The sequence below is a fragment of the Homo sapiens genome, chromosome 9 (genome assembly GCF_000001405.40).
Source record: "Homo sapiens chromosome 9, GRCh38.p14 Primary Assembly".
NCBI classification, from domain to species: Eukaryota; Metazoa; Chordata; class Mammalia; order Primates; family Hominidae; genus Homo; species Homo sapiens.
In genome coordinates, this window is record NC_000009.12 from 77374912 (window position 1) to 77389353 (window position 14442).

Consider the following 14442-nt stretch of genomic DNA (forward strand, 5'->3'; position numbering starts at 1 on the left):
GATATGTATTGTCATCATATGAGCTATTCCTCTTAAGCCAGTATTTCATACTGGTTACCATAATTGGGTGTTTCTGGTTTCGGCATTTAGAATTAAGGTGGGGGAAAAAGGAATCATTCTCCTCTACCTGTAACTTTAAGTTTCATAAATATAATGTGTTGAGTCGTAGTCATCAGAGAAGCTCAAAAGTCAATGAAACGTAAGGAATTTGAAACATATGAAGGCTTCTTTCAAAAGCTGCTAGAATTACCTTCTGTTTATCTAAAACCTTATAATTCTGTACCCAGGTATATTACCTTTAGGGATTGAGGGCACAATGAAACATTTTTAGAAAAAATAATAAAGACTAAGAACTATTGAAGGATGTACCTGTGAAAAAAGACACTGAAAGTAAAAGGAGGAATGGGTTACAAGATTCAAAGATAAAAATATAAATTGGATAAATCTAATTGAGCTACATGAAAGCAACATTGGAAACATTATTAAAACATAATAAAATGCAATTTGGGGAGAGAATGATTGGCATTAAATATTGTCCTATTTGTAAAGAGGATGTATTTACTAATATTAGGTGAAACAGACATTAAGGCAATAAAAGCATTATTTGGGATAAATAAGGTAATTAGGTAATGATAAAAAGAACTAAGTAGGAAGATAGTAACAATTTCAAACTTCTACTCAGTTCATAAAATAGCCTTAATTTTTAAAAGCACAACTTGACAAAACTGTAAGAACTTTTCAAATGTACAACAAAGGTGGAAGAACTTAATATTTTTCTCAATAATTGATAGATCAGGAAGACAAAATAAAAGTAAGTAAATAATTATCTGAATAGAGTTAACAAGCTACCTAATACAAACATAAATAATTATTCAGCACATTTTAGGGAGCATTGTCTATGATCTAGACACTTCTCTAATCACTTGAGGGACCAGCAATGAACACAATTGGCAATGGTCCTGTGTTCATACAGCTTACATTCTAGTGGGAGAGTAATAGACAAAAATAAGTAACTGATAAATATATGATATGCTAAATGGTGAAAAATGCCATGAAGAAAAATAAAGCAGATTAAAGGAGGTAAGGAGATGCAAAATGGTAGGGAGGAGGGTTGCTATTTTACATATTCAGTGATCAGGGATGCTTAACTCATAAGATTATATTTGAGGAGAGACCTGAAAGAAGTAAAGGGTGAGCCATGTGAGAAGAATGTCCCAGGCAGAAGGAACAGCAGTTAAAAAGCCCTGATGCAAGAATGTGCTTGGCCTATTTGAGAAACAGCAAGACTAGTTTGCCTGGAGTAGAGTGAGGAACGGGGAAAGTTGAAGAAGATGTTACCAGGGAACATGCGGGGAATCACATCTCGTAGAACTCGGCAAGCCCCTGTAAGGACTTAGGCTTTTGCTTAAGATGAGAGGCCATTGAAAGGTTTCAAGCCAGAGAAATGATGTGAGCTGGCTGCTGCATTGAGGCGTAACCACAGGGGATTAGGGCAGAAACAACACTTAAAAGGCTTTTGCAGTAATCCAAGTGAGTGACAATGGTGATTCGACTATTAGAGTACTAGAGATTATGTCCTGCATGTATTTTAAAGATAGTGGCAATAGCATTAGTTGATAAATTGGATGCAGGATATGAAAGAAAGAGAATCGTGAAGAATAATTCTAAAGTTTTTATGTGTAGTACTGGAAGGGTGAGGTTGTCGTTCTTTTTAGGGAAAGGGTATTAGACATTTCCTTTTGAATATATTAAGCTTAAAATATCTCTTAGACATCCAAATGGAGACATCACGTTATTGTTGAGTAGAGGAGTTTGAAGTATAGAGAAAGGTCCAAGCTAGAGGTAAAAATTCAAGATTTGTGAGCCTATAATAAGGTATTTGAAACCATGAGATTGGATGAGATCACCAAGGGAATGAGACTGAAAAGAGAAAAATAAGGTCCAAGGACTTGGCTTTCAGGCACACCAACTCTTAGAAGTTGGGGAAATGAGGAAGACCCAGAAAAGGAGGCTAAAAAGAAATGGTCATTAAGTTACCTAAAAAATTTTAGGGTCAGTTTGTCAATTTCTACAAAAAAGGTAGCTAGGATTTTGATGCAGATGGCATTGAATCTGTAGTTCAATTTGGGGAGTGTAGCCATCTTAACAGTATTATCTTTTAACCTGTGAAAATGCAACGTCTTTCCATTTATTTAGGTCTTCTTGAATTGCTTTCAATAATGTTTTATAGTTTGTAATGTACGAGTCTTATACTTCTTTTTAAAAACTTATTCCTAAGTATTTTTGATGCTGTTTTTTTTTTTTTTTTTTTTTTTTTTTGAGACGGAGTCTCGCTCTGTCGCCCAGGCCAGACTGCGGACTGCAGTGGCGCAATCTCGGCTCACTGCAAGCTCCGCTTCCCGGGTTCACGCCATTCTCCTGCCTCAGCCTCCCAAGTAGCTGGGACTACAGGCGCCCGCCACCGCGCCCGGCTAATTTTTTGTATTTTTAGTAGAGACGGGGTTTCACCTTGTTAGCCAGGATGGTCCCGATCTCCTGACCTCATGATCCACCCGCCTCGGCCTCCCAAAGTGCTGGTATGCTGTTTTAAATGGAATTGTTTTCTTAATTTTATTGTTGGATTGTTTATTGCTGGTGTGTTGAATACAACTGTTTTTCTTTATATTTGAGTTTCTGCAATCTTACTGAACTTGTTTATTAGCTCTAATGGTTTTGTGGATTCTTTTGGGTTTTCTATATGTAAGAGTATATCATCTGAGAACTGAGGTAACTTTACTTCTTCCTTTCTGATCTGGATGCTTTTTTTCTTGCCTAGTTGTCCTGGCTAGAACCTCTAGTACAATGTGAAGTAGAAGTGCTGAGAGAATAGACATGCCTATATTGCTTTTAATCTTAGGGGGAAAGCTTTCAGATGTTCACCATTAAATGTGATGTTAGCTATAGGTTTTTGTGTCTTTATCATGAAAACATGTTAGATTTTATGAAACGCTTTTTCTGTATAATTAAGTTGATAGTTGGTTTTTCCTTTGTTTCACTAATGTAGTATATTACATTAATTGAGTCAGATCTTAAACTAATATTGCATACCTGGGATAAATCCCATTTGGACATAATGTGTAATCGTTTTTATATTTTACTGGATTTGGTTTGATAGTATTTTGTTGAGGATTTTTGCATGTATATTTATAAGGGATATTGGTCTGTGGTTTTCTTGTGATGTCTTTGCCTGGTATGGGTATCAGGGTAATATTGTCCTCACAGAATGATTTAGGAAGTGTTCCCTCCTCTTCAAATTTTTGGAAGACTTTGTGGAGCGTTGATGTTAATTAAAAAAAAAATTTGGAGAATTGATCAGTGAAACCGTCTGATTCTTACTTTTATTTCTGGTGAGTTTTAAAATGACAAATTCACTCTCTTTACTTGGTAAAGGTCTAGTTAGGCTGTTTCTTGAGTCATTGTCAGTAGTTTTTATAGGAATTTGTTCAATTCATCTAGATGTTCTAATTTGTTGATATATATTTATTGATCATAGTAAATATTTACTAGTATTCTCATATAATTATTTTTCCCTTATATAGTATTTATTCCTAGTATTCCCTTATAATTATTTTTTGTTTCCATAAGATTGGTAGTAGTGTTCCCTCTTTAATTCCTGTTATTCATAATTTGGGTCTTCTTTTTTTTCTTGGTCAGTTTAGTGATGGCGTGTCATTTTTGTTGTCCTTTTCAAAGAACCAGTTTTTAGTTTCATTGATTCTATTTTTTCTATTCTCTATTTCTTTTATCTCTGCTCTAATTTTTATTATTTTCTTCCTTCTGCTAGCTTTGGGATTAGTTTGCTTTTTCTACTTTCTCAACTTGTGAAGTTATATTATTGATTTCAGACCTTCTTTTTTAATGTAGACATTCACATCTATAAATTTCCCTCTGAGCACTGTCTTTGCTGCATCTTATAAGTTTTGGTGTGTTGTATTTTTGCTTTTATTTGTTTCAAAGTAGTGAATTTCTTTTGTGATTTTTTTCTTTGACATTTTGTTATTTATGCTTCTATGTTTTAATTTCCACACACTTGTAAATTTCATAAATTTCTCTTATTTACACATTTCTAGTTTTCTTCCATGTGGTCAGGTATCATACTTGTATATTTTCAGTCCTTTTTTTTTTTTTTTTTTTTTTTTGTGAGATAGAGTCTCACTCTTGTCACCCAGGCTGGAGCAGTGGCGTGATTTTGGCTCACTGCAACCTCTGCCTCCCAGGTTCAAGAGATTCCCCTGCCTCAGCCTCCTGAGTAGCTGGGATTACAGGCACACACCACCATACCCAGCTAATTTTTTTTTTTTTTTTTTGAGACAGAGTTTCACTCTTGTTGCCCAGGCTGGAGTGCAATGGCGCTATCTCAGCTCACCGCAACCTCCGCCTCCCAAGTTCAAGCTATTCTCCTGCCTCAGCCTCCCTAGTAACTGGGATTACAGGCATGTGCCACCACACCCGGCTAATTTTGTATTTTTAGTAGAGACAGGGTTTCTCCATGTTGGTCAGGCTGATCTCGAACTTCCGACCTCAGGTGATCTGCCCGCCTTGGCCTCCCGAAGTGCTGGGATTGCAGGAATGAGCCACCACGCCCGGCCATTTTTGTATTTTTAGTAGAGATGGGGTTTCACCATGTTGGCCAGGCTTGTCTTGAACTCCTGACCTCAAGTGATCTGACCACCTCGGCCTCGCAAAGTGCTGGGATTACAGGCATGAGCCACCACGCCTGGCCTATTTTCAGTAGTTTTATATTTACATTCAATGTTAGCCAAAAGGCCAAGAAGCAAACAGTAATTTTATATTATTGAGACATGTTTTATGACCTAATAGATAGCTAATACTGAATAATGTTCCGTTGCACTTGAGAAGAATATATATTCTGTTGTTGTTGGTTTGAACGTTCTATAGACATCTGTTGGGTCTAGTGGATTATAGTGTTATTCAAGTTCTCTTTTTTCCTTGCTGATCTTTTATCTAGTTGGTATCCATTTTTGAAAGTAGGTTGCTGAAATCTTCAACTATTATGGTGGTATTGCCTTTTTGTCTTTTAAATTCTTAGTTTTTGTTTTGTGTATTTGGGGCTTCTTTTATTAGCTGCTTATATGTTTATAATTTTTTATCTTTTTGATGGATTGACCCTTTTTTCCTTATAAAATGCCCTTCTTTGTGTCTAATAAGAATTTTTTTAAAGGCTGTTTTTTTCTGACATTAGCATGGCCACTTTAGCTTTCTTTTAGTTACTGTTCACTTTGCATATATTTTCTCCTTTTTAGTTGCAACCAGTTTGTGTCTTTGACTCTAAATCAGGTCTCCTGTGGATAGTATATTGTTAGATCATATTTTTTTTATCTATTCTGTTTTTATTTTTTTACTTATGTATTTATTTTTTGAGATGGAGTCTCGCTGTGTCGCCCAGGCTGGAGTGCAGTGGCATGATCTCGGCTCACTGCAACCTCCACCTCCCAGGTTCAAGTGATTCTTCTGCCTCAGCCTCCCAAGTACTGGGACTACATGCACATGCCACCACGCCCGGCTAATTTTTGTATTTTTAGTAGAGACAGGGTTTCACCATATTGGCCAGGCTGATCTCGAACTCCTGACCTCATGATCCGCCCGCCTCGGGCTCCCAAAGTGCTGGGATTACAGACATGAGCCACCACACCCGGCCCTATTCTGTTTTCAGTTGGAGAATTTATTCATATGTATATGCCCATGCATGTGTATACATTATGTTAGCGGTCCCCAGCCTTTTAGGCATCAAGGTCTGGTTTCATGGAAGACAATTTTTCCACAGACCAGACAGGAGGGATAATTTCAGGATGGAACTGTTCCACCTCAGATCATCAGGCTTTAGTTATATTCTCATAAGGAGTGTGCTACCTAGATCCCTTGCATGTGCAGTTGACAATAGGGTTCGCCTTCTTATGAGAATCTGATGCCGCTGCTGATATGACAGGAGGTGGAGCTCAGGCAGTGAAACTTGCTTGCCACTACTCACCTCCTGCTGCACGACTCAGTTCCTAACAGGCTATGGACCGGTACTGGTTCAAGTCCCATGGGTTGGGGACCTCTTAATAAATATTTGTTGAATATGTGATACTTGTTGAGTGAACAAATTGAGTGGTCACTTATGACCAAATAAGCAAAAATGTTAAATATAATACTACCATACACAATTTAGCCGTATGTGGTATGTGTTTTTTGGTTTTTTGTTTGTTTTTAGACAGGGTCTCACTCTGGCATCCTGATTGGAGTGCAGTGGCATGGGGCTCAAACTATCCTCCCACCTCAGCCTTCTGAGTGTCTGGGACTTCTGCTGCATACCACCATGTCTGACTAGTTTTTTTATTTTTTTGTAGAGCAGTGTATGCTGCCCAGGATTGGGGTATGTGTTTACAGTAATACACATCAAGCCCAGTAAGAATGTGAGGACTGTGAGAGTATTTGAATATTAGAAAACTATATAATGTGATTTATAACATTAATAGATTAAGGAAAATATACCATGTGATCAAAACAATGCCAGAAAAGAAATTCTTATTTAAAATTCATTGCCTATTTAAGATTTTCAAAAACAGTAACAAAAAAGAACTGTTGGTAAACTAAAAGTAGCAATGAACTTTCTTGACTTGTTAAGGGGTGCTTTAAAAAAAAAAAGTTGCTGATAACTATACTTCACAGAAAACTCTTAGAAGCTTTCCGTAGGGTCAGGAATGAGACAAGGATGCTTGCAATCCCTTTTTGTTTATAGCATTATACTAAAGAAACTAGACAACGTAATAGGAAAAGAAAAAGCAACAATTGCTAATATTGTGATTATTATCACAAAGAAAGTTCTAGAGACTTAAACTTCTCTATAGTTCTGTATTTTTCTAGAGAACTTACACTGTTTATGTTACAAAAACAATTTAAAATTAGAGAATGTTGTAATATTTTTAATCTGAAATAAGATTGTTTTTAGTAATTGCATTTTATAGTTTATTTACAAGTTTTTGAATAATTTTTAAAATAAAGTTATATTTTTTTTCCTCTAGAGCTACAGAGACTTCTGAAGTGGAGAGTCTGCGACCTCCTCGGTTCTTCAATGAAGATGGAGTTATCAGACCGTACAGGTTGAGGGATGGGACTGGAAATCAAATGTTACAGGTAAATTAAGAGCTATCTTATAAATTAAGATTAATTTAGTCAAGTTAGATTTTTTTTAAGTAGCCATTTAATATATATTAAATTATTTGGGCTTTTATCTATTTTGCTTAATTCCACTTATAAGTTTCTTATATTTACTTAGATTTTAAAGTACATTTATTTACTATAAGATTTTTTTTTCTTTTTTACAGGCATCAAAAAGTTTGATATGAAAAGTTAATGCATGACTTTGCAAGTGAAAGCCAACAGTAGATTTTAGTCTTAAAATTTACAAACTACGTACAGCTGTTTCAGTATTTTGAATACAAAGAAAACCTTTTGTATTGGTAACTTTTAATAGGAATTTTAATGAATCTGGTTTTTTTATAGGGTGTTCTTAGTTCTGCACTGGATTTGCTAGATTTGTTGGAAGCCTTTGTACCTTATGTATCCTCGTCATTGGTGGTACTTACTTAACCAATTAAACCATTTCTGTTGTGGGGTTATTAAACCACTGGTAGCTTTTATACCAGATATATAATCCTTATATCCAATTACACATGAAGAAGGAAAAGCAAAACTCAGGAACACTGCTATTGTGAATTACTCTTGGATTCTTGTGCTTTGCCTTTGAAAATGCTTAAATGGCCATGACCCTCTTCCTGCTTTATTCTAGTGTAGTCTTTATAAAACTTGTGGGATTTGATAAGCAGTTCACATGCAAACCAGTATCTTTTAATAATACAAAGTAGCATCTGGAACAATAGACAGTTTGAAGTTAGAATCTGCTTAGACAACTTTCTTACTTGGTAAATTCGACTTTTTAAAACCTGGATTATGCTGTAGGTAACTAGTAATCATATATAGGCTATACCAGTGTCATGTTGTTTCTGTGGTTTAGAGGTGGAATACTAAATTAAATCATTTGTTTGAAAACAAACAAGGAATCATTATGTTATGTAGGCTTGCAGATACTCATGGTAGCAATAAACTGTTGGAATATGAAGCTTCCTTTATGGCTTTAATATTTTAAATATTGTGATATTTAATGTGATCAGAGTAAAGATTTAAACTTCAGTATTTTACCTATTGCAGGGCATATAGTATTGCATAAAATATACTTCTAACTCTTTCTCTGAGGCTTCTAATATACAAAAATGTAACCATAGAGTTAATATGCAATATTTAGTTAAGTGATTTTATACTGTATTTAAAATGTTTTTGAAGCATCAAAATCATTGTATATTGGGATAGAACTGGTAATCTATTAAGAGGTTGTGCTCTAATGGACAGATTGTGCAGTCTCTACAATGACAGTGTATCGTTCTTTGGAAGATAGTAAATTTGCAGAAGTCACCCATGGCTGATACAGTCAAAACATGTATTTCTACCCAATACCTGCCTTCCCTTGTTAGAACGCATTTAACAAGTTACTAACATTTTACTAGACTAAAAATCAAATATAGTACGAAGTAAGGATGAGTGTTGAGGAGAGTTTAGGAATATATCCTCATTATAAGTGAGCACGTTATGATACCCACAAGGAAGCCATGAGATACCAATAATTTCTCATGGTTGATAATTTGATTTTAGTGAAGCTTCTCATTGTTTTCTGAAGCTTTAAACTTTGAGATGTAAAAACATGACTTTTGACTGTGTACTTTTAAAGATACATATTTATTTTTAATAGGTCAGTCTCATCATTAATCACTAAAAGAGCTATTTAAATGACTAAAAACCACAGCACTTGTCAGCCATTACTTGTTTTTCAGCAAGCATTTACACAGTATTAGCTGAAATATTTGTAGGGATTCACCAAGTACCTTGGGATGTTGCAGTTAGCATTTTTTTCTTACAGGTATAAAAAGTGGATTGTTGTTTTGATGGTGGTGGGTTTTGTTTTTTTTTTTTTAATCAAAGCTCTAGTGTATTATTAGCAAACACTTAAAAAATATGTAAATACCAGTACTGTGGAAAATAATTAGATGACACATAAACTGGATTTAAAATCCATCTCATCTGCCTAGATTTTATGTAAGTGATATAATGAAGGTGCCTTAAAATATTTGATACTTTCAAATGTTTCTCATGTTATTTTCTTATTTTCTAAAAAAGATGTATTCACTAAATTATATACACTCATATAATAATTAAATATAAAATACATTCTTTTATTGTGTACCTTTCTATCTAGAAGGTAGCACATTATTACAGTGTTTCCTGCTGGTCAAAGTTGCCTATTAGAGAAATAGAATGGTAATTTTAATATATTCACAAAATACCTTATTGATATCATCAAACCAATTTATACATTGAGTTTGTACCAACTAGTGGAATTGTCTTAGGTCTATTAAGTTATGGAATATTATATCCATAATTACAGTCTGAGTCATAGCTGAAAAAATCTGCTTTAAAATTATTCTCACTCTTTGAACATTTCATAATCTTACATGTTTTCAAGCAATTTGCCATACTCTACTAACCTTTGTGCTTCTTTTTTCCTTTGCCATGCTTACAGAAAATTCAATTCTACAGGGAGTGGATTATGACTCACAGTAGCAGTAGTGATGATGATGATGATGATGATGATGATGATGAGTCAGATCTAAACCATTAAAATTCATATGTTCTTTATTTTACTTGGAATGTTTCATTAACATGTTTTGTATGACTTATACCATAATGCCCATATGTCCATTTATAGGGAGGTAAAACACATTTTCTTTTAAAATGTTTTCCTACACATTTTCATAAAGCAAAATAATTGTATTATTTAAGCACAGAAAAAAATGTATCTTACATCCAAAGTAGGGAGGGCATCCAACATATTATAGATTTGCTTTTATATATTTTATAGCTTTGTATTGCATAGTTTGTCTTTAAGAGTTCAAGTTAGACTTAAATATAATTTTGATGTTCACTGGTTTTATTTTAAATTGCCTTCTTATTTGTTAGCAAAATGCCTTTTTTTAATGGTCTCTGTAAATTTTCTGGGCTTTAATGTAATGCCACTGTGTAAAAAAAAAGGAAGAAAATAGTAATAGCCATTTAATGTTTTATATTTATCATTTTAAAGATATTTTTGTCAAATTTCTTTTAATAATAATAAACATATGTAATCTAAAGGAGTGTGAATTTGTTGTTCTATCCCCAAATCATATAGATTGAACTGCTATTATAAAAAACAGTCATGGCCTCTCATGGAAGAGTAGATAGTAAAATAATTTATAGTCTGAGAATGAAAAAGACCGTTCTTTTATGTCTTTGCTTTACTTTTTACCGTTTTGTTTCACATATTTTTTGTGAAACAATGAACAAAGTTGGTTTTAATAGTCATTATATTCACTTATTAATTTGTATATGCATCTACTATATTTCTATTATGAATTCAGAATATTTGGAAACTTCTATCGTAAACATAACTATATATATTTTTTCTGTGTAATATTAGGGAAAATGTTACATATATCTCTGAAAGATCCATTAGTAAATCTATTTTATGTTTTGTGTAATAAAGGTTTTTAAAAAAATTTCAACATAGATGAAACTGTCCTATTTCTCTAACATATCAGACGTACTTTAAAAAATTCTCTAAAAAGTATATGATCTTTGGTAGTTAGAATGTTTAATCCCTATGACTGCTGTGCTTTTGGATCAACAAAGGAATATTTATCTTGACTACAGCAGAAGCTCAGTATAAGCAACAGGTGATTTAATTTAACTGATTCAGCACATGATTTCTGAGTCTCCTCTAATTCTTAGGTTTATCAAGTTTTATTTCTATAAATCATTCTCTATGTTTTTTGAAAGTGACTACTTTAAATTTGAAAATATTGAGATTACTGCAAAAAAAACTGAAAAAAATCAGCTTTTTTGAAATTTCTTCCTATGCAGAATTCATTCAAATTAAATAGAAATCAAGGTTATGTATGTAAAATTTGTTTGAAAACAAACTTACTAATATGTAAACATCATAAAGTTGTTTTAAAAAACTGTTATGTAAACATCAAAAAATTCAATTATTGTTTTAATCACAGTATTTTTATCTTTTTAGAATAAGTACATACAAATAGTGACCATTAAAATAGTCATTGCTTTATTGGAAACCAACTTTGTATTTGTTGTGCACCCACTCCTCTCTCACCCTTGGCCAAAATCAAACAAAACTTACTGCTCCTTCTAAAATCTAGAAAGAATACTGCCTATTTTTGTATTTTGTATATGCTTAAGGAAGGAAGAGTCTGGAAGTTTCTTCATTGGCTTCTTACATTCCAACTTTGCTAGTCACAAGGCCTTTGTAAAAGAGACTGTGGAAACTACTTGTTTGCAAGACATTTCCCAAATTTACTGTGCTTGGCCTGTGACACTTAATTTCATGGAATGGGATTCATAAAGATGATCTTAACCTTTCATTCCTTAAGAATTTATCGGAAAAAAAAAAAGTTGTGGTTATCTTAGCAGTGATTTACCATTTTCATGAAAAGAAAATTGGAGGTAGGATTACATTTATTTAAAATTTCTTCAGTAAAAATATTTTAAATAATATGCTAGTAACTAGTAAACATTGCTTGTGTGGTCTTAGAGTTTCATCATTCTTCAGTTTTTAGCCCTTAGAGATGAGATGTGCTCTTTATTTTTTTTTTTTAATTTTTTTTTTTTGAGATGGAGTCTCGTTCTGTCGCCCAGGCTGGAGTGCAGTGGCGCGATCTCGGCTGACTGCAAACTCCACCTCCTGGGTTCACGCCATTCTCCTGCCTCAGCCTCCTGAGTAGCTGGGACTACAGGCTCCTGCCACCACACCCGGCTAATTTTTTGTGTTTTTAGTAGAGATGGGGTTTCACCGTGTTAGCCAGGATGGTCTCGATCTGACCTCGTGATCCGCCTGCCTCGGCCTCCCAAGGTGCTGGGATTACAGGCGTGAGCCACCGCACCCAGCCGAGATCTGCTCTTTGACAGTGTAATTGCCCTTGTTTTTCTGCCACAGTGAAATTATCTTTTCAAACCTCTTGAGGACAGGTATTAATTGTGTTCCAGTTTTGAAAAAAAACTTGAATTTTTCTCTAGTAAAAGCAAAAAAAAAAGACAGAATTGCTCTTTTGTTTTACACCATTGTTCTCTTGATGGAGATAGAGGATCTAGGCAAAAATATATTCTTATTTCTTATCAAATATATAGAAAATGAATTTATATTTGGATTTTAATAAGATGAACTCTTGTTTATCAATGGTTCTATAATTAACTAGAACTTTTAAAATGGTAGTATCTAACAGGAAAGTCTAGTGAGAAAGCTGTTTGAAAATTATGTAATGCCACACCTTTCCATATGCTTTAACTTCATTTATGTTCCAGATTTCTGCACGATCATTGCTTATGTATAGAAAATGGGAAGGAAGGTTCACTTCCCTGAAGGAGTGATTACCTGGAGATTCCTTATTTTCCTTTGTGTCTACCTGACGCTTGAATAACATATTGAAAACGGGCAGGAAGAAAAATTTGTAAAAATCTGTAATTGTGGACACTCATAACCATAGATAAATAATCTAAGCCTGTAAATGAAATTAATTAGTACTCACATGGGATATAAATAAAACAAATGTAAATTCAGAATAATATTGCCAATTTTCAGTATTATAGAAAAGGAAGTCAAATTTTGTTTCCTTATTTAAAATAATCAGTATTTTATAAATTTGTTTTTGAAACTATTCAAAACACATATCACTGATGCAGTGTTGAATGTTGATTTTAAGTTCATGTTATTTAAGTGTACACCTGGAGCCACTGCATACTTATGACATCAATATTCAATGTGAAAAATACTGTTGTTTCTGTGTCTCAAGATTATAAATGACTGCTATAGTAGCTACTAGTTTGTCTGATTTAAGTCTTGTAATGAAATTTTGCATTCAGCTTTTTTGTGGTGATGGGAGAAGGACCAGAAACAACCATCCCAGCTGTTACTGCGTATTTTCTACTGCATCTTCAAATTTCAGCTTTTTGTCTCTTAGATTTCCTTGCAAAATAGTAAAGGGTCTTATGGATCAAAATCAGGTGATGTTAAGTGTACACACATTATTTAGCTCAAATAATAATGATGATGGATATGTGAAAATGTCAATTTATTCCAGCACCTTTGGAATAAATGGAGATCAATTAAGAATGCTTACACTGTTAATTTAATCATTAATATTAGTGAGTGAATTTGTGAGTTCATAAAGTACAGTGAGTACAGCCAGCATTATACAAAACGTAGAAAGTCCATCAAAGGAAAGTAAAACAAATAATTTCAAATAGGTCTGTGTTAAGAGAACTAATTAGAATAATTTATGATTTTCATAGGGATTTATTGTCCGGTTTGTTTTAACGTGGCAGAATATTTATCATTCTCAATAAGTATGATAAATTTATTTAGCAATTATTCCATATCAACCGATATATAGCAACAGTCTACCTCCAAATATCAATTTTAAAACACACGTTTAACAGTGTTATAAAACTGGCTTTTGATGAATCTTCTTCATTGCTTACACATGTTTTAAGCAATGAACTTGTAAAGATTTCTCCTGAATTGTATTATGCTATTCTTCTGGATCTTAGAGATCCTCAAATACATGAGCACTGAAAATATTATAGGCATTGTTTTTGTTTTTTAAAAGCAACCAGGATAGTCAGAGATTTAGCTAAGTATACCCAGTTTGTCGTAATTGGGCATGTTATATTTTTCTACTATAAATTATCATTTATCAGTAACCTGTTAACTACATTATGTCTACAAAGGTTTTCTGAGTATATTCAATAAAACTTGGCATTTCTATGAATTAAAAATTTTACAGACCTGCATTTCTAGGGAAAAAGCTAAAAACCTGTGGATCCATTTGCTGACATTGATTCTCAGTTGACAACTTTAGTATTTTATAAAGATACGAAATTTTTCAACATTAGTTATTTTCTACATTAAATAGATTATTTTCTACATTGAAGTATGCTCATTAGAGAAAAGCAGGAAACTATAGAAAAGGAAACAATTATCCTGTCTCCCCACCATTTATGGTATATTTCCTTTTTAAATTTTTTATTCACCTGGTTATGACTCAAAAGTATAAATTGCCATTTTATGTTTTACTACGTATTTTTATAAGCAGCATTATTAACTTCTAAAGATTAAAAAAGCATACCACTCAGAAATATCCGTAATTGGGAAACCTAGTCTTTATTTATGGAGCACATAAAGAGTAAGCAGAACTCTTTTTTTTTTTTTTTTTGAGACAGAGTTTCACTCCATTGCCCATG

General features: G+C 33.4%; 1 protein-coding gene across 4 annotated transcripts in view; it reads left to right on the forward strand.

Annotated features, from left to right (window-relative positions):
- The window catches only part of VPS13A (vacuolar protein sorting 13 homolog A), a 244004-nt gene that overhangs the window by 197378 nt on the left and 32184 nt on the right, over positions 1–14442 (forward strand). For 2 of the 4 annotated variants that reach the window (NM_033305.3, NM_001018037.2), the window contains one exon: positions 7065–7176. In NM_033305.3, coding sequence (NP_150648.2) covers positions 7065–7176 — 112 coding nt within the window. Of the gene's footprint in view, positions 1–7064; positions 7177–7367; positions 8096–9673; positions 10281–14442 lie in introns of those variants that run through there. The other 2 variants (NM_015186.4, NM_001018038.3) reach the window with 2 other exon arrangements.